Genomic DNA, 24015 nt, shown 5'->3' on the forward strand with positions numbered 1-24015 from the left:
TCACTTCATAATACTGGTGACCATAGTTAGTGAACACTGAACGCTTTATGTATAATAAATCATTAGAATGCCATGATTTTAGCTTAGAATGGTACCTGACACATCAGTGTTGTAAGCTCACATAATTTGATTTTTGTAAGAACCCAGTGACGTAGGTATTATTATTATCCCCATCTGATGGGGGAGGAAGCTAAGGTTAGGAGAGCTGACATGCCCAGGGGCACACGTAGCTGGGAGGTGGTGGCCAGAGTGGCAGCACGGCACTCCATCCACACAGCCCTGCTCTCACCCACCCGTCCATGCTGCTGGCCTTCCATGGGACCCTGACCTTGACCTGGAACTTAGCTTCCTTATCTGTAGAATGAAGGGGAAAGCAGAGAACACTCATGAAATCCCCCCATTGTGTGTCAGGAAGAGGAGTTTCAGCCCTGCAGTGATTGAAACGCAGCATTTCTGAGCCATGTCTGATAGAGTAGGGCCCATCAAGGGCTTTAACTGTCATGGTGGGCTCTACTTTTCACTGTTTTCCCCCCAGACTGGACCACATGGAGGTGTGTTGGGGGTGGGCACCGAGGGCTCCTGTGGGTGACGGCAGTAGCTACTAGACCCATCTCCGGCGTGGGCCGCGTGGCCACCTTGCCCAGGAGCTCTCTGGGGCTGAACGCTGTGGCTTTTCCCTTGTGTCCTTCCCCAACAGGAAACTGGATTTTGGTTTATTTTTCACCACGTACCAACGGGCCCCTCCGTGGGAATGTACTCCCCAGGTTATTCAGAGCACATTCCACTGGGAAAATTCTATAACAACCGAGCACATTCCAACTACCGGGTAAGTCTTTCCAGGCTGCGCCTCTCTGGCCAGCCTCTCGGTCCCCTTCCCAGGCCTGCAGATGATTAGAGCCGGGACAGCCAGTTGGCGACAGCTGGGAACAACTGCATTCTTAATGCTGGTCTCGAAGAAAATGGAGCAGCCTTGCGAGGCCTCCCAGGCCATTGGCCACATTCTTCAACACAAATCTCCTGTGGTGGTTCCTGCACGGGCATGGACTGAGAATATGGCCAGAGCCAAAAGGAGCAAGTTGTGCCTTCACTCATGCTGACAGGGGGAGAGCTTCTCTTGGTGGCCCCTGAGCTGGGCACCTGAATTTGGTTTGCAATTCACTTGGCGGGGCTGGGTGTAGCCTCAACTATGAAAAGTTAGGCCTGATCCATAAGCTGAAGGAAATCAAGACGTGGTTCTGAAGGAAGGTGGAGGCAGCATTGGCATCCTCTCTGCTGTTCCCTCTTGTCTTGTTTCTTGGGAAATGAATGGGTTGCTGCATCTGCACAGAGCTAAGTGGGCAGGTGGGACACAAAGTCCTCAGTCATCTTCATTTGCTCATCAACATCTCCTAAGCACCTGCCGTTGTGTCCAGCACCAAGCTAGGCACTGGGGGACAGAGGGCATACCAAGATGACCGGGATCTCGAGTCTGTCAAGGACTTCCCAGTGAGGACAGCAGTCAAGACCAGAGTCATGGGGCATGGGATTGGAGCTTGGAGCATGGCTGAGACCAGAGACGCTCTTTGTTGGGGCAGAGGTGGTCTCAAGGATGCCAGGGCGGTGCGCAGACAGACTCCCAAATGCCTAGGCTGGTTTTCTGGTCCAATCCCTAATGGTACTGATAAAGAAAAACTGACGTTCCTCAAAGGGAACAATACATTCGGAGGCAAAAAGTAAAAAGATTTTTAAAAGCCCAACCAGAGAGAAGACCAAAAGGAAGAGATGCAGTCTCAGAATAGACCTGTGCTTATGCCTAGGAGATAGGGTGGGGCAAGGGGTAAGCAGTTGCAGGGTGGGGTGGCAGAAACAGAAGCAGAGTCCCCAGGCAGTGTCATTTCCCAGCAACTAGAAAAGAGGGTAGTGTCATGGGGCAGTGAGCAGAGGTGTGGAAGACAACAGTCTCATCTTGACAGAGGAGAATTAGTGCCGGGTAACAGAGAGGGCATTTCTGAAGCTGACATGGCCCTCAGAGAGCAATCTCCATACAGAGGGAGGTGCAGGGGGCATACTGCTGTTGGTGGCAGGGGGAACAGTGGAGAGAATGTGTTGGCTGCTTGTCGAGAAACCCCTCACACGCACCCCTTGGGAAGGCTTCCATGAGCAGGGAGGTGGGCCACATAGAACCTAGCAGGTGTGGAGAGGCTGGAAAGGGGAGGAGTGCATGCAGGTGAATGGTTTCTAACAAGCAGGCATGCAAGGGCTCATGGGTGCAGGTGGGGATGGGCCTTGAAGAAGGTGGCAGGTCTCATTCTCTGAGGCAGGGAGGGAAGGAGTGAAGAAGAACCTCCAGCTGGATGGATTCGATTGTCTAAGCCAAGGAGGAGGTCTCGTCCTTGGTGTTCATGCCCAGTAAGCCTTGACTCCACATCCACAGTGAGAGGGACCTGTTCCAGGAGGCTTCACCTGGGGTCTCTTATTGGGTCCTCATAACCATCCTGTGACATAGGTATCACTAGCCCATCTTGCAGATGATATGACTAAGGCTAAAGAGGTGAAGGGACTTGCCCAGTCATAGTTAGTGGGAGTAGAGCTGCGAGTCAACCCCACATCATCGGACTCACATCACCGCTGCTGAATTATAAGCCAGAGGGAGAATGAAACGGCCACAGTGCCCTCCAGTTATCTAAAAAAGAGAAATCTGAGTATGAGCATTCACAAGAGGCCACGAGAATCCAGACAGGAATGAAGACTGAATGGTGGCCTCCCTGGGCAGCATCACTCAGCTGCCTTGATTTCTCCCTATCCCATGGCTGACAAAGTGGACATGTTTAGAGTCAAACAAGAAAGCCAGATTCTCTCTTCAAGACAGGCAGGAGCTAAAATGAAACTGTGGGAAGGTCACTGACCCCAGCCCAAGGTAAAGATGGGACTTAGGTTCAGCATTTCCTTTAAATCACAGCAGATAAATTTCCTAAGAGTATATACCTGTTGTTCCTGACTTGGGGCCTGGGCTAATAACTATCTAAAGCAGTGTGGGTCTGCACATGGACTTTGCTATGTGGCCTTGGACAACATACATAACCTCTCTAGACCTCAGTTTCCAAATCTGCTCCTCAAAGAGGTCAAATATTCCAGATTTGGTCTGAGCAATGCAGAATAAGGCAGCATCTTCACCTCCCTTACTGTAGATCCTCTACTTCTGTTGATGCAGCCTGAGAACAGAGCTGGTTTTCCCGGAGCATTCAGAAGTATGCAGTGAGGCTGACTGTGAGACGATGCCTGTAGCCCACAGTAGAAACTAATGTGTCCCTGAATATCTCTTCCCTGCAGGCTGGCATGATCATAGACAACGGAGTCAAAACCACCGAGGCCTCTGCCAAGGACAAGCGGCCGTTCCTCTCAATCATCTCTGCCAGGTAATCAGCCATTGGGAAGACACAGTCCACGGTGACCTTGCAGTCCAGCTCCTGCCTCCCCCTCCTTCAATCACTCATTCATTCCCTGAGCATCTGTTGAGCCCTTGCTTTGTGCTGGGCTTTGAGCTAGTTGCTGGGGGTACAATGGTGAAAACCTGAGCAGGGTAAAGTCTGAATTAGGATTCTGGCTCCAGCAGCCAAAGGAAGATAGAAATTCCCAGAGGTTTCTAGATCCCTCAGCAAAGTGAATAGCTGGTAAGTCAGCAGAAATGAGCAGGGCCACAGTAGGTTGGGCCAGGATGAAAAGATGAAGAGAACAGAAGGGAAGAATTTTACCATCAGTTTAATGGGAAAGAACATGCAAGTCATGCCTATAAATAAGCCTACTGTTCAGCTGAAGGCCAGGGGCAACTTTTAAACCTCAAGGTAATTAGCAAAACCAATCTCCTTTAAAGAGACAAGTTGCTTGGTCTCCATCAAAAGTGGGTAACACTGGTAACATGATAGTGCACTCCGTTTTGTAGCTAAGAAGTGCTCAGAAAAGGCACTAGTTCAAGGTGACCTGCCAGTTAGTGGAAGAGCTGGGTATCTCCAGACTCTTCTCCTGGGCTACGAGGACTGTGTTGCATGACTTTGTGGGAATGGCTGTCTGAACTGTCCTCTGTGTTTTGGCCCCACTTGGGGCAGGTTCTTCAGTATGTGAGGAGCCTGCATGGGCTGGTGGAGGAGTGACTTCTTGCTTCTGTGATGAACTCAGAAAGTTCATTCAAGAGCCCAGGCAATGCGAATGGGTTTCTGTTCAGTCAATGCCTTCCTGGGCACTGTGAGTAGAGAGAGGCTCACAGAGCCCAGAAGGGAGTCAGCAGAGGCGTGCCCCCAACACCGCCACCTGTGCCCTCCCCATGGTTGTGCTGCAGATACAGCCCTCACCAGGACGCCGACCCGCTGAAGCCCCGGGAGCCGGCCATCATCAGACACTTCATTGCCTACAAGAACCAGGACCACGGGGCCTGGCTGCGCGGCGGGGATGTGTGGCTGGACAGCTGCCGGTGAGTCAGAGCGGCGTGTGGCTTTGGCACAAAGGGGGCATGGCGCGTCTTCCCCTAGCCCCCTACAGAGACAGGAGAGCAAAGCAGAGAGGGGAAGCCAGACATACTGACGTTTGGCCTTCTGGTCCCCCAGCCAGGCAGGGGCATAGAATGGCAGCAGGCAGTGGCCAAAAAAAACAAAACCTAAAAGCAGCATATTGGCTTCAGCCTACAGTGCCAGGTGCTGTGGGTTATGATTCGCTTCCAAATAGTCACTGGGCTTGGCTCTCTCAAGGTCATGCGGACCATCAGCTAAGGGAGGGAAGAAGAAAGAAGCCAGAACATTCTAGGCACTTACTATGTGAAAGCCTTGGTTGCATTTCTTTCTTACCATGTTTCTCAAACATATAAATTATGATCTCCATTTTAGAGACGATAAACTGAGGTTCAGTTTAGTGAATTTCCCAAGGTCACGCAGTTAGCTAGAGTTTGAACTGGAACTTGGAGCCACAGTTCACTGGACTCCAAGACCCAAATGAAAAAGGCAGGGAACGCTGAGCTCTCATATGAGGTCCCTATGTGAGTGACTGGCACATGCTGGACAAGGACCAGAAGGCACAGGCAGTGGAGCTGGGATTTGTTTTCAGGGAGTATTGTGAAATGTCTCCTTGTCTGCCTTTTGTGTTAAAAATGGGAAATCAGAAACCTATTAGGAAATAAACATATTTCTCTATTTTATTGTGACCAAGTAAAGGAGAAATAAAGGTGAAAGGGAACAAGAGAAATTGAAATGCGAGGAGAAAAGCAGAGACACAGCATTGACAGAGAGAGCAAGAGAGAGAGGGAAGGGAGAGAGAGAAAGGCTGCTCAGAAATGCAGAGATCTGGGGAGAAACTGACTTAGCATTGGAGCCCCAGGAAGATGCTTGAGAGACAGAGAAGGGGAGGTGCAAAGGCTTTTGGGTCCCCCAGCCAGGCAAGGACATAGGATGGCAGCAGGCAGTGGCCAAAAATAAACAATAAATTTTTTTTTAAAAAAGTCAAAAAAGCAAAACTTAAAAACAGAGGCAGAGAGACTGAGCGGGTGGGGGGGGGGGGTCTTCTTTTTTTTTTTTGAGATGGAGTCTTACTCTGTCACCCAGGCTGGAGTGCAGTGGTGCAAACTCAGCACACTGCAACCTCTGCTTCCTGGGTTCAAGCAATTCTCCTGCCTCAGCCTCCCGAGTAGCTGGGATTACAAGCGTGCACCACCACGCCAGGCTAATTTTTGTATTTTCAGTAGAGACGGGGTTTCACCACATTGGCCAGGCTGGTCGCAAGCTCCTGACCTTGTGATTCGCCCGCCTTGGCCTCCCAAAGTGCTGGGATTACAGGCGTGAGCCACTGTGCCCAGCCGCAGGGCCTTCATTTTGCACAGGAGAAAAGAAGTCATTCATTTTAAGAAGAAGGGAAGGGAGAAAAGGGAGCTGATTCTGGGTTTCTGAAGGGCATTTAGGGGAAGGGGGCAGGGTTGTTCTGATTGGCTCTAGAAGGCAGAAGTGATAGGCATGAAGCAGGTTTCAGCTCTGGAGAAGGAAGAACCTTCCTACCATATGAGACACCAATCTATGGGATAAGCTGCCAGGCTCCTCATCCCTAGAGCAGACCCTAGAGCATCCTTGGGAGGGGCACTACACAGAAGGTGGGTGGAAGCCCTGGGTTGAAGAGAAACTAGATGGTGTCAATGCCGAAATTCTTTGCAATATCCTAAGTTCGGTAAATCTCTTGGTTCTGGTTATTGGGCATTTCAGAGTTTAGGTCCCTTAAGAGATGGTAAATGCCAGATTTAGGGCAGCAAGAAAAATTGCGAAGACCCCTCCTGCCAAAGTGTGTGTGTCTTTTAATCCCCCACCAGACTCATTCCAAGGTAGCCTAGGATCTGCCTGGCACCAAGGCTGTGGTCCTACGTGTGGACAAGGTTGGTGCAATCGGGGCTGACAGAAGACAGGGATCCCTTCAAGGATTGGAAGAATGAGGGGACCAGGAGCCTAGCACTGGGGGACAGAAGCAATGAGGAAAAGCCATGGAGGGGCCTGGGAGATAAGACTCAGGAAGTTTGGGAAAATAAATGGATAAGACAGTGCCCTAATGATGGGACTGGAATGACTGATTTGAACTAAATGGGCTTCGGAAAAAGAAAAAGGTCCATGTGTCTGAAAGAGGGTGAGCAGAATATGAAAAAGTACATTGGGAATTAGAGAGCATGCCTGCCACCAGGACCAGCCTGGTGCAGCTGATGTGGATTCACCAGGCCCTTGAGCTTGGATCTATGAAGGATATAAAGCCACGGAAGTTTTAGGGACCAGAGAGGCTGGTGAGAATGGCACTTTGAGATGAGCCTGGCAGGGTGGACAGGACAGATGGAAGGAGCAGAGGCATAGAGACCAGTTAAATCTACCCCTGGGACACAGGAAGTGAAGGCGGCCACTGTATTTGGCCCTAGGGTCTGTGGTAGCACAGACCCAAGGCTCAGCTCTGGATTCTGTGTAATCCCTTGTCCCTCGCAATCAGACGCCCCCCAGAAGCATGCTCATCTGACCCCTAAAAAGGGCAGAGGTGAAAGGGAGCTGACGAGATGGCCCCAGAGCAATTGCAAAATGACTTCCTGCCCTTCTCAGGGTCAGCATCTGCCTGGCTTCCTGGAAACTTGAAAAGTAGCTATTGATGCCTCTCTCTATGGCTGAAACAGCAGTGAAGATGGTAAAAGAAAAAAAAAATAGAAGTGCATTCACATACTCCACCTTTCCCTGGTGCTGGTCCTGAGAGCGGAAGGCCCTTCAAGTTCTCCTGATCCAACCTCACACTAAGCCCTGGAATCACAGAGGATGGGGCTGGAGAGGGAGGCATATGGACCCCAGTCTGCATGCTGTCAATGCCGTTGAATGTGGAGAGCCACAGGGGTCACTGCTTTCTCTCTAGAGTCAGAGTGGGAGGGGACCCAGAAAATCCCCTTCCTGTGCAGAACAGGAGAGCCACAACTCCCTGAGCACGACTCTGCTTATGTAGAGACTCCTTCCTCTGCACGGTATTCAGTTTGACTCCAAGGGCAGGGAAGTGTCCTTCTCTCCACGACTCCACTGAATGTGAAGCCAGGGCATGCTCTGACTATCTATCTGCTCTTGCCCACAGGTTTGCTGACAATGGCATTGGCCTGACCCTGGCCAGGTAAGGGCAACTGTCATTGTACTTGGTCCTCTGTGGGATCTTGTCTCTGGGCATCTCACCTTAAACATCTTCTCTCTACAGTGGTGGAACCTTCCCGTATGACGACGGCTCCAAGCAAGAGATAAAGAACAGCTTGTTTGTTGGCGAGAGTGGCAACGTGGGGACGGAAATGATGGACAATAGGATCTGGGGCCCTGGCGGCTTGGACCATAGCGGAAGGACCCTCCCTATAGGCCAGTAGGTTTGCAACCATGTAGCTCCTTATTCTGAGTGGCTTAACCTAAGTGGCTGTGATGGAAGGGAAAAAGTTAATGGGTAGTTTCTACCTGTTGACTATGAATTCTTCTACCAGCCAGAGGAATCACTGAGGTGACTGAGACTAACAATTAAGGGATGAAATCTGGAATGGGGAGAGAGAAGTCAAAAAGTGGTGTTGAATATGAGTCAACAGGGTGACGTGGCCATCAAAATGCGTAATGCATTCCTGGGCTATGTTAATGGGAATTTAGTGTGTCTGGGATCAGGGACTGTGAGTCCTTTTCTCTGACAGCACTCTCACTTGGAGTGTAGCATCCACTCCTGAGGATGGCAGAGCAATAGAGTCAGGCCGAAGCACACTTAAAGGAGAATAACCAGGAGGGTGACAAAAGCCGAAGCTATGTCACATGCAGGTTGGGGTCTTCAACCAGAAGACAGGATCATCACTTTGGGGACAACATGGGGGATATTGTTACATGTTCTCAGAGCTGCTGTGCACATAGGGGATGAGACTCATTCTACACGGGCACCGTGGGTTAGGGTTGGTTTAGTGCAAGAAGGATGGATCTTTTTAATGTCAGATATGCTCAACAACAGAATAGCAGGACTGTCCTGAGGAGTCCTGGTTTCTGCGGCTGGGGGAGTTCAAATGAAGGTCAGACGATAAGCAGGTGGGTGGAGAATGAATGGGTGACTTGGAAGGGTGATGAGCAAACAGGGATAATGGACTCAGTCAATTCCTTGGAAAACCACAGGCTGGGTCAGTGGTGAGGAAATCTCCTTTCTTCTGCTGGTGTTTCTGCTCAGGTGTGAATTCAAGCCAGAGAGCAAGGCTCTGAGCCTGTGAGCAGCATGGTAGTCCCTGTGCTCCTGGTGATAAGATCAGCCCTTCTTGTCTGTCTGAGCTTTCTACTCTTTCTCTAGGAAGATATAATTTCTACTACTAGAGTCAGGACACAAAATACACATTGACCTAAAACTTCCAACCCAAGTGGACATGGAAAAGACTTTGCAAAGGCAAAATCATGGTCTCCTTCAGCATGAGCTGTGAGAAGCCCTTCCTTTTGTCTAACCTGAGTAATGGAGCAGTCCCTTTCAGCATGTGTATGAGTGACCCTGAATCCGCACGTTCAAGGTTTCTTTGCCAAGGGTTACCAGCCTCCCGGGGCCAGAATGCTCTGATGACTTCCAAAGGTGATCCTGTTTATGGAAACCTGTCAGACTGAGGCAGGTTCCTCAAATTGCATCTGCAAGTAGGAACCTAAGAGCCTGCAGTCCTAATCATGGTTGATCCATCTTGTATAGAGCTGGGTCAGGGTCTGAAGTGCAAAACCTAAGTATAGAGCTAGTAAAAATGGACTGTCCCTAAAATATGTGAAATGAAAAAATGCATGGAGCCACCCCTTGAGAATCAGGATTCTAGATCATGATGTTAATCAATTATAAACGTAAAAATATAGAAATGCAAGGAGTCTTTGGTGCCCACTGAAGGCATGTTACCGTGACTGCTGTGCCTAGGGTCTTCCTCAAGGAACCATATTGGAATGGAAGGGAGCCCAGGGTTGAAGATCAGGGACAACTGGAGTATGGTCTCTCCCTGTGGGCAGATATTTTTTCTGCTTCTTTTTCCATCTTTCTATTTTTTCTTCTTTATATTTGCTGTGGAAGACAATGTGCTTGACCCAGATACAGAGACACCAGCATAAGCATACATGTTGGGTTTGGAGAAGGAGCAAGCCTAGACTGGGGCCAGGCCCAAGAAGGACCACCAGGAAGCCCAGCCAGCCTCGCAGACCCTTGCTTCCTGTGCTCTGCTCAGGAGTCTGAGGCAATGGGAGAAGTGTGTCTGAGCAACCTACTCCATGCTAAGCCAAGGCAAAATCTTCAAGTCACCAGTTCTTGTCCAGTCTCTCCTACCTCCACGTCCAAGCCTGTTGCCGCTTCCCACCTCCTTCTGGGTCTCAGGGCCTTCTTGGGGTTCTCTGTCAGCCTACAGTCTTGCTTTTCAGTGGGGCCTCCCTTTCTTCTAGGGGTGCTGAAAATGTTGCCTTACAATTATTTTTATCATGTTTATCACCTTCCATTCTGTGTCCTTTTCCCCTCTGTTTCCCAAACCCAGCACACTGCCAATGTGAAAGGCTTACTCCCAGAGGAGAAACTCATGTGGGTCTTAATCTGATTTAATTGTTATAGCAACTAAAACTAAGGCGATAATGACTAACAGCTCTATCTTCCCAAGAAACATAATATTGGCACGCTCCAGTGGTATTTACAGTATTTACCCAATGACTCTTTATGTAATGGAAAAATTGGGGAAAATGTTGAAATACAGGACCATTCTCCAAACTCCAAACTAGCAACTAGATGGATATTCAACTCATCCATCCATTCATCCATCCATCCATTCACCCGGCAGTCATTCATTGACACTTAGTGTGTCTATACATGCTTTAAATTAATTAATGAATTAATAATTAATTAATAATGATCTGGGGCAGGGGGAGTTTCTAGAGGTGGGGATCAGGAATGGTTTTACCCAGGAAGTCTCTGCTACCATCCACCTCAGAAGGGGCAAACATGGCGTTTAGACTGACGTCTTACTTCCTTAACTCCATAGGAATGGAAAACATTTAGACTGACATCTTACTTCCTTAACTCCGTAGGAATTTTCCAATTAGAGGAATTCAGTTATATGATGGCCCCATCAACATCCAAAACTGCACTTTCCGAAAGTTTGTGGCCCTGGAGGGCCGGCACACCAGCGCCCTGGCCTTCCGCCTGAATAATGCCTGGCAGAGCTGCCCCCATAACAACGTGACCGGCATTGCCTTTGAGGACGTTCCGGTGAGTGAGGCGCCAGGGCAGACTCCCGGCAAACCCAGACTTTGGATGGTGATTCACAAGTCCCCTGGGTCCCAGAGTTTGAGCTATTGCCACCACCGCAGGGGTTGAGAAGCCTCCTCCAACTAGGCTGGGCCATGTCCCAGTTTGCTCTTCATCCAAACTGGAAAAGTACAAGCGTAGGTTGCCCCACAGGTCAGGTCTGGGTAAATGCCCGCTTGCTCTCTCCCTGCTCAAAACTCAGGCGAGCCTCTGGAGGAACCCGACGTGTGGACTGAGGTTCCTAGGCTGTTCCTCCAAGGGACTTGACTTTGACAAACTGAGTCTTCTGACCAGGCCACCTGAGTTGGCACAAAGAATCTAACAAGCCCCACAGTTTCCAAGGGAAGTCTTAGCTGATGATGTTCTGTTTAATCTCTCCCCGAGAGCAGACTATAAACAGAGGCCTCCTTGCCCTAGACAGAGAAGGCAGAAGAGGGGCGGAGGATTAGGAGATCAGGAGCAAGGGCTGCCCTGTGAGACCAGCCGGGGCCAGTCCTCCTGTGCATTTCCTTCAGGTTATGGATTCCCAGACTTTTCCCTCCTTCTCCTCCCTGCTCCTGCCTTTTGCCTGTTTGCCCAGTTCCTGGCAGGCTGAGGGAAACGATGTGAAACTGAAATGACTTAATGTCTTTACTCAGGCAACTGAGAGCCTGAAAGAGGTCAGTTATGGAAATCTGCAAGGGCTCATGCTGCAAAACTGTCTTCCTGAAACGTGCCACATGCATCTTCTCTCGCACACGGATGCCCCCGTGTATGTGTGTGTGTATGTGTAAAAGTGTGTGTACCCTTTCTCATACACACATCACCCCCACCTCCCTCTCACACACAGTCACACTCACAGTCCTCAGTCCCCCTCCTCCATCTCTGCAGTTGGTGAAGGCTGTGTGTCAGAGCAGTCTCCAAGCTCATCCACAGCAGCCAACCCTCCAGTGAGCAGAGGCCAAAAGCATGTGCTAGGTCTGGGAGTTGAGGCACAGTGAACCTTTGACTGTGACTCCGGTTGCATCGGAGGGGTCAGCCACGTGGTTTCTCTCAGTGCCCGAGAGCATCTTTGTTTTGGCTGGCTTGTAACGTCAGTGGAAATCGGAAACCTCGCCCTGGCCTGATGACGGCTGCAGTTTCCCTTCACCTTCTAGCCCTGCCTAACTTTCCTGGGCTCTGTTTAGATTACTTCCAGAGTGTTCTTCGGAGAGCCTGGGCCCTGGTTCAACCAGCTGGACATGGATGGGGATAAGACATCTGTGTTCCATGACGTCGACGGCTCCGTGTCCGAGTACCCTGGCTCCTACCTCACGAAGAATGACAACTGGCTGGTCCGGCACCCAGACTGCATCAATGTTCCCGACTGGAGAGGGGCCATTTGCAGTGGGTGCTATGCACAGGTGGGGACACCATTCTGGGGGCCGGCCACTCACTTATTCACTCATGCAACAAGCATTCAGTGAGTGTCTACTCTATGCCTGGCTCTGTTTCAGGCCAGAAAGAGATACAGAATTTTTTTTTCTTTTTCTTTCTTTCCTTTTATTTTTTCCCCTCACCCAGTAGGATTTTTACAAAGTTAAAGTCAAAACACTTGGTGAGCAAAATGCTTAGAAAAAAAGAACCCTCTGGGTCAACTGCTTCGATTCAAGTCAGGCTCCAACACTTACCATTGGACCTTGGGCAAATTACTTGGTCTCTTGGAGCCTCAGTTTCCTCACCTGTAAAATAGTTGAACTTTCCTAGCGAGATTTTGGGGGTGGCTTCAGAAAATACAAGTAAAATGTTTCATCAGCCTTATCCAATAGAAATATAATGCAAGCCACACATGTAATCTTAAATTTTCTGGTAGCCATGTTAAAAAGTAAAAAGAAACAGAATTTAATTTTAATAATACTTTAATTGTATTAAAAATACTATCATTCAAAATGAATCAGTGTAGAAAATCATTAAAAACACTTCTTGTTTTTTTTCTAAGTCTTCAAAGTCTACTGTGTATTTTACACTTATAGCCCACTCAATTTTCAACCAAGGGAAGTGTAGTCCTACTGAAACAATAACGTTGTGTTTAATGTGAATTTTTAATTTTATTTTTAATTTATTTTTGCATTTTTATTGCTATATCATAGTATATTCTCTTGGAGAATGTGTGATATTTGATATATGTATACAATGTGTAATGATCAAATCAGGGTAATGGGATAGGAAAAAATATTTACATTGCTTTTGTTTTGAAATTTAAATGAATTGAAGTTTAAAATTCAGATCCTGAGTCACAGTGGCCACATGTCCAGTGCTCAGTGGCCACATGAGGGACAGGGCAGGTCTAGATGGTGCCTAGAACAGGGCAGAACTTAAAATATTAGTTAGCTATTATTATATTATTGTTACTTCTAGTATTTTGATGAATGACTAATGAATAAATGAGTAACGGGAGAGAGGCCTGAGAAAATGAATTGTCAGGTTCACAGTGAGCCAGGTCGTCTCAGAGAATGAAGGAAACATGTATGAATAGCTGTCTTCACAACTATCCTACAAGGCAGGCATTATTATCACCACCGTGGGTGTCAGGAATTGGGGTGTTAGAAAGGAGCTAAATGGTGGTTTGGGGGTGGAGGAGTGATAGGAGAGGGAGATGGTGTTGGGCTGAAGGAAAAGGGCCATAAGGGGCAAAGAGGGCACAGGGTGCAGCTGGTGGGGGTCAGGTGCCAGAGTAGGTGGCAGGGCTAGCATTTAGCAGGAAGAAGGACCAGAGGAAGACAGGGCAGAGGGCAGGAAGCTGAGGGTGTTTCTCTCTGCAGTAGAATGTGATGTCATGTGCTGAGAATGTGGGGACTGGGCTTGAGGAAAGTAACCTCCAGAGAGCGATAAAGATTTGGAAGAGTTGCTGTAGAGAGTGGAAAATGTTGACAAGAAGCTTGTGGAAGGAGTGCCTGGCAGTGTTGAAAACCCAGTGGAGACTGGAGGCGGTGCATTTGCAGAGGCACCTCTCTCCCAGGCTGTGGGATTTTCTCAGCCCTGCTCAAGAGCCCTGGGAGAGGCGGAGCTGTGCAATGAGCCATGGGGTGGCTTCTGCTGTAGGTGTGGGCAGAGGAAGGGCCAAGATGCTAATGGGAGTGAGTGGTTGATATGATGATGTGAGGAAGATAAGAAGGGAAGTGGGGTCAGAAGGGAGCTGATGGAGGACAGTCATGTCCTGAATAATTGAAGGATGACCAAACCCTCAAGCCTGGCATCCACACTGTCAGCATTACACAGCCTCAGCTCAAGGTCTAGGTATCCCATATGGAGCCTTGATTTTCCTTCCCACACTTTCTTTCTGATATGTTGCTTATCTTCTGTGAAAAAAAAGCTCATCGTTAGAGCTTGCCAGATTATCATAACTGGCAACTGGTTATTAACGGTTATTCATAATATTTTCCCTTCACTTTACATCTTACAAAATGCTTTAATGTACGCTTTACCTTCTGATACTCAGGGCAACTTCCTAAGATGGGCAGGGTTGGTTCTCTTTCCATCTTATATGCGATAAAACTAGAGGGGAAGATAAGCACTTCCTTCCAAAAGCACAACATCATTGCACGTTGGTGTGATTGTCTCTCTTGGCCACAGTTATGGGGATATTGTCTTATGAATTTGGGATGTGCCATAAAACAGGACATGGCGTTTTTTTTGTTTTTGTTTTTGTTTTGAGATGGAGTTTCGCTCTTGTTGCCCAGGCTGGAGTGCAATGGGCAATGGCGTGATCTCGGCTCACTGCAACCCCCGCCTCCCAGGTTCAAGCGATTCTCCTGCCTCAGCCTCCCTAGTAGCTGGGATTACAAGCATGTGCCACCATGCCCAGCTAATTTTGTATTTTTAGTAGAGGCAGGGTTTCTCCATGTTGGTCAGGCTGGTCTCGAACTCCCAACCTCAGGTGATCCACCCGCCTCGGCCTCCCAAAGTGCTGGGATTACAGGCATGAGCCACCGCGCCCGGCCAACACAGTGTTTTAAACCAATGCTGGGATAAAGCATCCAGGCTCTTAGGTCCCTGGAACTCAATGGCTGACAGTCTTGCTTTCAGTTTTTCCTCTGAAATGAGGCACCATTTATTCATGCAGTGTGTTGTGGCACCACAAGGACTGGCCTCAGGGGCCAGACACTGAGAGGGAGTAGGAGGGAGAAGTAGGCCAACACACCCAGGCACTCTCTAAAATCAGGCAGAGCAACTGCCAGTTATAGGCGAGTTGCATTTTATGGTAGAATTAAAAAAGTTCTCTCTCTCTCTCTCTTACTCCCTTCCTCCTCCGTCCACATCTCTGTCCTTTGTCCAAAATTTGCCATCTGACTATTATGCAGACTCTTCTCAAATTTCCACTGGAAGCTCAACAGAGCACTTTTATGAAGATGAACAGAAAGCATTAGCTGGATTACACAGTAAGGCCTGGGCTGCGTCCATCAGCAGAAAGAGATGTCCCCTTATTTGGCCTTTCTTTCATTCAAGCCTTCTAAAAAGGGTTCTGTAAAGAGAAAGTGCCTTTGAAAGTGCGGTCTATAGTCAGATGTTAGCCAGACGCTCTTGGAATAATCCTTCGTAATAGCCTCATTGTGTGTTTCCTTTTTGGGTTTTAAAAGATGTACATTCAAGCCTACAAGACCAGTAACCTGCGAATGAAGATCATCAAGAATGACTTCCCCAGCCACCCTCTTTACCTGGAGGGGGCGCTCACCAGGAGCACCCATTACCAGCAATACCAACCGGTTGTCACCCTGCAGAAGGGCTACACCATCCACTGGGACCAGACGGCCCCCGCCGAACTCGCCATCTGGCTCATCAACTTCAACAAGTGAGTGGGTGTCCAGCCAGGAGCAGTGAGCTCAAAGCTGATAACGATGCCTTGTTGCAAAGTCCTGGACTTGCGTCTAACGAAACCACAGGCTAGCCCATGTGATCCATGCAGGAGTACCTAGAGGGGTTGACATCACCCAGGAGTTAAGAATTAAAGGACACAGGCCAAGCCCCCGCTCCAGCATGGGTAACCTTGGCCAGCGCACGTAACCTCTTGAGCCTGAGCTCCTTGATCTTTGAGTTGAGGATAGTATTACCTTGCAGGAGTGCAATGAGGACCCAAGGAGATAAGGTATGGCGGGCACCCAGGACCTGGCATTAGCCAGTGCTCGACAGATGACAAAAATATCTGGGTATTGTTGTTACCATCCTACAGAGAGGGAAACGAGGCTCTGCGAGATAAAGTGTTGAGGCCGAGGGCATCTGGATAGGGCTTCATATATTTAGATTCTAGTATTTTCTATGCACATTATTTACTTGTCACAGTATTTCTGTGAGACAGACATTTACCAGATGTGGGAAATGAGACCAAAGCGATGAAATCGGCCCTACAATCAAGCTGGACCCAGAAGGGGCTCAGCCTAGGTCCTTTGGATCCTGTGCTCTTTAACTACGAAAAGAATGTCTTTTTCCCAAAGTTCCATATGCAGCACCCCCAGGGTTGGCCCTGGAGACACACCAGTGAAGCATTCAGGCTCTTTGCTCATGGGCAGCCATTGTCTCTCCCTCTCTCCTTGAACACTGCAACTCAGTCACCACGACAGCAAATGTGCTTTCAAAATTTCCCATACAAAAGTGGAGGTGTCATTTGGTGGAGATTTTTTGGTCTCTTTCTCCAAGGCATGCTCCAAAGGCCCTGTGGCCTGGACACCCTTGCTTGTAACCTGACTCTACTTCCAATCCTAGGGGCGACTGGATCCGAGTGGGGCTCTGCTACCCGCGAGGCACCACATTCTCCATCCTCTCGGATGTTCACAATCGCCTGCTGAAGCAAACGTCCAAGACGGGCGTCTTCGTGAGGACCTTGCAGATGGACAAAGTGGAGCAGAGCTACCCTGGCAGGAGCCACTACTACTGGGACGAGGACTCAGGGTGAGCAGGCGCCCACTTGGCTGCAGGAAAGTGGCTCAACCTCATCTTGTCCCCTTGGCCTTTCCAATAAGTCTAAGAACAGCCATGTAGTTAATGCCAATTAATGTAAGACACCTTTCTAGGCATTTTGACTCTAAGGCTGACTGTCCCATACATTAACGACATTTTTAAAGCTATTAAGCTTTAAAAGTAAAATAAACACCCTATTAAATATACATGTGAATTGTAGGGAATTTACATATTTCAGAAAAAAAAAAGTGAAGGCAGTAAATCTTAGAATCCAGAAAACATGGTACATTATCTCAAATCCTCACAACAACCTGCTTGGAGCAGAGGATTAAGAGATGGGCAGCTGGGTGTGGTGACTCACGCTTCCCAGCACTTTGGGAGGCCGAGGTGGGTGGATCACAAGGTCAGGAGTTCGAGACCAGCCTGGCCAACATGGTGAAACCCCGTCTCTACTAAAAATACAAAAATTAGCTGGGCATGGTGGCGCGTGCCTGTAATCCCAGCTACTCAGGAGGCTGAGGCAGGAGAATTGCTTGAACCTGGGAGGCGGAGGTTGCAGTGAGCCAAGATACTGCCATTGCATTCCAGCCTGGGTGACAGAGAGAGTGAGAGATGGGCAAAGAAGGCACAGGGAAAATAGGAGAGACTTCCTGAGATCATAGCATAAAGCTGACCCAGCTGGATTTGAACCTAGATCTGTCTGTCTTCAAAGCCCTCACCCTTTTGCTAACCTGCACTAGGTTCTATTCAATAGAGATATAATGAAAACAGAGTATCTGTTTCTGGGAGTTCTTTGATCCCCTCTCTTAAAAAGAAATTTCGTCTAATGTCTTAAGAATGCCAACCCAGCTCCACAGCAACGTCGATAGCAAACTGTGAGGAGTAAGGGTAAAAGATCAGTTGATGGCCAGTTTTCTATTCTTATATGGAAGTCAATGATAAAGAAACTGATAACAGATGATCTATCTTATTTATGGCTCCATCAATTTGATTAAGGGAAAATTAAAATTTAGAATCAAAAGTATAAGTAAAATGTTGGGATGGGAGGGCAATAAAAAACACCTCTTTCCCCACACAAGTGCTACGCCAGCTGGGGGCAGACAAGCTGGCAGGGGAAGAGGAAGTGATCCACCTTACTGATGATAAAGCTGTTGGAGAATAGAGCTTTCCAATATCATCCCCAATTTTACCTCCTCCGCCCCAGGGAGCACTGGGCAATTACAGGCTCCCCACATAGGGCCCAGCCCGAAAACCTCAGAGCATGGAAGACAGACCAGAGTGCCCCTGCTCTACGGGCTGAGCCAAATACCCAAAACCAACCAATTATATGAGACACTCTCTTCCCATGGGAAGAAGTGGATGAGGGGAGGGCCCAGGGGCCAGGAGTATTTAGGAAAATCCTCCCATATGAATACCAGAGGAGGAGGAGTGAGATATGCCCCACATACCACTAGGAAATATTATGATTAAAGTAACAGATGTTGATAAGGTAAAGTCCCTGGGATACCATCCATGCAGATTTTCTTCTTTCCGGCTCATGAGTGAAATGTTCAAAAGATGTGAATTTTTCAAATGGAAACTTCCACTAAGTAAGTTGAACCTCTTTGATCAAAGTCTTAAAAATCTAAGGCTGGTCTGCTTGTCACCTTAAGCACATTTTTTGGTTGGTAGCATAGCTTAGCCCTATGCCTGTTGATCATTGTGTTGTGTTTCAATTCAGCAACGCCTTAGGGACCAGGAGTTGGGTTATAGGGGGTCTGTTTCCTATGGAGAAGGGCTGCAAACTCTTGGGCTTTTAAAAATCTTTCTGCCTTATACGTTTGTTGTTTCTTATACTCAGAGCACCTGCCTTTAGCAGCTACCTTCTAATAATCTACTATGGGCTAGGATACTTAACAACCAGCTTGCTATAATTAGGGGTAAAATTAAAATAAGTCAGCTAAAAGGGAGGGGATTTCAAAGTGTGAAATATATAAGCTCTGAATCATCTCTCATTTTTTCCAGGTTAAAAAAACTGTTAAGTGATTGTAGCTGTGTTCTGGATAGCTAAGTTTGCTTAATACCACCTCAGTGAATTCTTATAATGATTCTTACTAAATTATAAACAAGTACATTATTTAAGGTGCACAGCCATCAGTAGCGCTGCTCTGCAACATTACTTGGTCATAGCCAGGATTTGAGCACTGGGCTGGCAGATGCCCAGGCCCGTGCTCCTTTCATGCCTTCCAGGGCTTTGCAGTTCAGCCAGCTTGCACACATCCAAGTTGTAGGTCAGGATTAGGGAAGGCAGCTGCTACCTACCATGGGCTGGATGGTCTTTTAGGTCACTCCCAGTTTAGATAATCTGATATATAATGGCAACAAGGAAACCTGAATACTGTTAAGTTTTGTGCAGAAGCCTCAGGACCAATCCCATTTCTGTGCTTGGTCCCAGGAGTGGTTTGGAGCATGTTGGGAGCCTCCAGGGAGACGTGACCATGGGCAGCACTGAACTGCCTTCCTCCTAAGCTGCTCAAAGCGGGTGCTCACCTGCCTCCCCAGCTTCCCCACCACGCAGGGCATGGAATGCAGATATGGCTGCTCTGCTCTCAGCCCTGAGCACGAGGCCTCTGTAACAGTCAGTTTCTACTTTACTCTGAGATCACTTGATGTGGATGGCTTGAAACATAAAGCCTCTCAAGGAAGCTCAGATTAAGTGGAGGTGCTACAGAGAGAAGACCAAGGGGTCTTCAAGAAATAAAAACCCAGCTGGGCCTCATGGGCTCAGGTGCTGACAGCAACCAAGACAGCAGGGAGGAGGTAGCCTGCCTACCCCTTGTGTCTCTCCATCTCCCCATGTTCACACACATACGCACACACGCATGGCCTCTTGTTTCAGCTACTTGCTGCAAACTGCCTTCCTCTCGCGATTCCTTAGCAGGCATGGGGCACAACAAGGTTGTCAGCCCCAACTCCATGTGGTCTTTTAGTTCAAGCACCACCCGGTGGTGGACAAGACCTGCTGGGTCCCATAAGAGCGAGAATCTTGGTTACTGGTTGGCCAATCCATGGCCCCTCTGTGAGTCCAATGTGTGCCCCTGGTCTGAGCAGCTGTGTGGTAGGGGTTTGGGGGCGAGGGCATTGTGGTGCAAACCCAGCTCCCTAGTCTGACTGGACTCAGTGAAGGGTTGGTCCCCAGAGCAAGATGGGTGGTAGATACCCCATATCCTATCTTCCCATGTTTCAGATGCAGGACTCAGCCTGAAAGCGCTTTTCTGCACTAAAAGAACAATAATGAATCCCAAGTTAGTACTGTGTTTTCCTCATAATCTGACTCCCTGTAACACTGGGTCAGCTTCCTTTACAATAATAATTATTATTTTAAATAAATTATAAATAATTTTTGGAATAAATTATGGTTTGGAGAAAACTAGAGATAGGAAGACAGAGCATCTCCTCACCGGGCACAATGCTGGGATGGAAAATGCTGGCTTTGTCACTTCCCAGCTGTGTGGTCCTGGGCGAGTCACTTCACTTCTCTGAGCCACCATTTTCCCATCCAGGAATTCAGGATGATAATAGTACCTACTGGACAGGATTGTTTGAGGATTAAATGAGATATGTCGATTTACGATGTGTGCACGGCGTGGCACATAGAACGTGCTCAGAATAGAATTGCCATTCTCATTAGCTTTTTCTTCAATGCATTTGTTCCTTATTTCTCCAACTACATGCAACTCGGTGGTAGACATGGTTCCATTCTATAAGGCCGCTGGGTCTACCTGCTATGACCAGCTCAGAGTAAATGTCTCGGTGGGTGGGAGGAGAAGAGGGAGGTTTGAGTGTCCAAGCAAATGCCCAGCAATGCTCCTTGTGTGCAGGCTGTTGTTCCTGAAGCTGAAAGCTCAGAACGAGAGAGAGAAGTTTGCTTTCTGCTCCATGAAAGGCTGTGAGAGGATAAAGATTAAAGCTCTGATTCCAAAGAACGCAGGCGTCAGTGACTGCACAGCCACAGCTTACCCCAAGTTCACCGAGAGGGCTGTCGTAGACGTGCCGATGCCCAAGAAGCTCTTTGGTTCTCAGCTGGTGAGTGGCTGAGAGCAAAGCCTAGACCCCTTTGCCGTCCAGTCGGGCCTAGAGCCCTTTGCCGTCCAGTCGGGCCCAGACCCAATTAGGTCCCTCACTCAGCTCCATAAACCATTTCCTGTGACTGGGGATACGGGAAGAGGAGGGGAATGACTACCCAAACCTAACAATTACATTGGGTTCTATGTGTTTTCCAGAAAACAAAGGACCATTTCTTGGAGGTGAAGATGGAGAGTTCCAAGCAGCACTTCTTCCACCTCTGGAACGACTTCGCTTACATTGAAGTAAGTGCCTCTGGCCCCTGGAGGATTCGGGTTTGCTCATTGAGAGGTGATACTGTGTCCTGCGGCTGCTGGCACAAATTACTGCAAACTGGGAGCAAGGTGTTGGCAGGGGTGGTTTCCTCCAGGGGGCTTGGGGCGGGGAACCTGTTCCATGCCTCTTCTCGCTCCTGGTGGCTGCCAGCACTCCTGAGCATTCCTCAGCTTGCAGACACATTAATCTCTGTCTTTATGTGGGCTTTTCTCCTGAGTGTCTGCGTCTCACCTCTCCTCCTGCCTTTCTTTTGCAAAGGCACCTATCTTTGAATTTAGGGCCCACCCTAAAAATCCAGAAGGTTTAATCAAAAAATCTTTTAACTTAATTCCGTCTGCAAAGATTCTATTTTCACATAAGCCCACTTTCACAGGTTCCGGGTGGACATAACTTTTGCAGGGCCACTATTTGACCCACTACTGAGGGCTACGAGGAGTTAAGTGGATAATGGAGTTTACGCTTCAAATAGATGCATAGGCAACTTCTGCCTTCAGGGTCTGCTTGGGAACCACCTGGGCAGGAGAACCATGGGGCCTTGGCACCCTGCCTCACACCTGGATTGCTCTGGCTCTGTAGGTGGATGGGAAGAAGTACCCCAGTTCGGAGGATGGCATCCAGGTGGTGGTGATTGACGGGAACCAAGGGCGCGTGGTGAGCCACACGAGCTTCAGGAACTCCATTCTGCAAGGCATACCATGGCAGCTTTTCAACTATGTGGCGACCATCCCTGACAAGTGAGTCTGTACCTCTGCTTCTGGAATTGGCTGCTGGCACAGCAGACCCCTGGGCAAGGGCCCCCTCCCTCTCACAAAGGCCCTCATCACAGATCAGTCTGGAAAAGCTCAGGCAGTCTCCACAGCCTGCCCACAAATCATGGGTGTTGGACAAGAGCGTCCTTGCCTGTGGACTCTGGTGTTGGAGCTGGGCTGCTGTGAATGTAGGTCAGGCGGAGGCAGGCGGGACAGCCCCGCTGCACATGGGAAGGTTGCCCTGGCCCTCTTCACTACACTCCCAGCATGATCTCATCCCCTCCCACACCTTCAATACGATCCAAGTGCTGGTGGCTACTATCTCCAGCCCGGATCTCCTTCCTAAGCACCAGACATTCCAGTCCAACTGCTACTTGGACAACGCCACCTGGACATCTTGTATGGAACTGAATTCTCAGCCTTTTAAAATGTTTAACCTCCCAAACCAGCCACTCATCCTACTTCTTCAGTTTTGATGAAATCATCACAATTCATCCTGATAGCCAGGCCAGAATCTGGGCATTCTGTTTGTCTCCTCTTTCTTTCCTCCACATGCTATCATCACACCCTATCAATTCTGCCTGCAGTACTGCTCGCCTGCTGGTTCCCTCCACAGCGTCCTCTCTTCTGCCACTCTGCCCCGGCCTTTGCTGTTCATCACCAACACTGTTGGCACAGTCTCCTAACGGGCCTCCCTCTTCCAGTTGCCCCAACTCCAACCCATCTTCCATATTGGCCGCTGGTTTAAACTTCTTAAATGTAGGGAAAACCTGTGTCCCCTCTCCTTAGCAAACTTTGGTAATTCCCCAGTACCTTACAAGTCTCCCCACATCGCCTCCTCGGTGAGGTCTTTTCCGATCCAACCCAAAAGTTCTACCTTGGCAGGGCGCATTGGCTCACACCTGTAATTTCAGCACTTTGGGAGGCCGAGGTGGGTGGATCATGAGGTCAGGAGTTTGACATCAGCCTGGCCAATATGGTGAAACCCCATCTCTACTAAAAGTACAAAAAAATTAGCTGGGTGTGGTGGTGCACACCTGTAGTCCCAGCTACTCAGGAGGCTGAGGCAGGAGAATCGCTTGAACCCAGGAGGCGGACGTTGCAGTGAGCCGAGATTGCGCAGCTGCACTCCAGCCTGGGTGACACAGCAAGACTCCGTCTCAAAAAAATAAAAAATAAAAGTTCTACCTCTGCTAAAGCACTACTCACAATAGGTCTGGTGGACACATCTGTTGCCCCATCAAGAGTGTGGCCTTCTCAATGTTGGGGCCATGTCTAACTTCCCTTTGCATTTCTAGCACAGAACATGGCTAGTTAAGTGAGTGTACAGTTCACTCAGGAGCCACAACCTGGTGGAAAGTCTAAGCGCTTCATGTGGTACCTGCTACATAGTAGGTGCTTAGTAAACATTAATAGTTATTAAATGAAAGCAAATGTACTTCCCAGATGCTGACTCCATGAGGGGCACGACGTGAACTGGGCACCTGGCGAGATTTTGGATAATGGGATTTTGCTTAACCACATTTACTCCCTCCCTCATTCCCCCATCAGATGCTTCTTCGGCATTCTATTTTTCATATGCAGATTCAGACAGAGGACAAGGTTGACCAAATTGGGAAAAATAGTTATCCTCTAGAGATCATGACGTTTTGGGCAGAGAATTTTCTTTTGAAATGAAAGATGATGCAGAAGCTTGGAATAAGAAACTAGACTGCAGTGCTACTCTGTTTGGAACCATGTGCAAGGCTCCCACCAGCCCGAGCAGCAGCACCTCTCTGGGGGAAGCCCTTACTGGAATGGGCCACTCCCTGGGCTGGCGCTGGGCACCCAGGCAGGCATTGGTACCACTAGACCCCTCTCTAACCTCCTGGAAAGCAGCAGGGAATGAGGCAAGGTAGATCCTGTTCTACTGTGGCTGCGGGCCCTGCCTAGCCTGGCCCATGCTTCCTACCCCATCCAGCAGGCCACTACTGGCCCCAGGGTCCTGGGGAGAGAAGAGGGCAGCTGCTCACACCAGAAACATCTAGCATGGCTTCTGGGAGCTGCCTCTGCACTGCCACTCTGTGGGAGACTGTGCTGGCTGGGGCATGGGCTTATAGGCCATGAGGATGGCACACCAGGCAAAGAAGTGTTCCCAACATAGGTAGGCAGGCTTCTGGGCATCAGTGGGAAGGGGTGGGGACACAAGAAGCCCATCTCTCTGTCCCGC

General features: G+C 48.8%; 1 protein-coding gene across 10 annotated transcripts in view, besides 1 other annotated feature; it reads left to right on the forward strand.

Annotated features, from left to right (window-relative positions):
- CEMIP (cell migration inducing hyaluronidase 1) overlaps window positions 1-24015 on the forward strand; it is a 172402-nt gene that overhangs the window by 141942 nt on the left and 6445 nt on the right. For all 10 annotated transcript variants that reach the window (XM_047432894.1, XM_047432897.1, XM_047432893.1 and 7 more), the window contains 12 exons: window positions 698-826; window positions 3310-3395; window positions 4313-4444; window positions 7591-7626; window positions 7708-7863; window positions 10548-10728; window positions 11934-12149; window positions 15363-15574; window positions 16483-16668; window positions 20538-20742; window positions 20940-21026; window positions 21634-21791. In XM_047432894.1, coding sequence (XP_047288850.1) covers window positions 698-826; window positions 3310-3395; window positions 4313-4444; window positions 7591-7626; window positions 7708-7863; window positions 10548-10728; window positions 11934-12149; window positions 15363-15574; window positions 16483-16668; window positions 20538-20742; window positions 20940-21026; window positions 21634-21791 — 1784 coding nt within the window. The remainder of the gene's footprint in view (window positions 1-697; window positions 827-3309; window positions 3396-4312; window positions 4445-7590; window positions 7627-7707; window positions 7864-10547; window positions 10729-11933; window positions 12150-15362; window positions 15575-16482; window positions 16669-20537; window positions 20743-20939; window positions 21027-21633; window positions 21792-24015) is intronic.
- Window positions 7397-8596: an enhancer, noted in NCBI's record as "BRD4-independent group 4 enhancer chr15:81221049-81222248 (GRCh37/hg19 assembly coordinates)". NCBI's record gives its function as "activates an origin of replication core promoter dependent on BRD2, P300/CBP, MED14 and CDK7 cofactors, and independent of BRD4, by STARR-seq in HCT116 cells {active_cell/tissue: HCT116}" and the evidence as "EXISTENCE:reporter gene assay evidence [ECO:0000049][PMID:35650434]".

The sequence above is a fragment of the Homo sapiens genome, chromosome 15 (genome assembly GCF_000001405.40).
Source record: "Homo sapiens chromosome 15, GRCh38.p14 Primary Assembly".
Classification (NCBI taxonomy): Eukaryota; Metazoa; Chordata; class Mammalia; order Primates; family Hominidae; genus Homo; species Homo sapiens.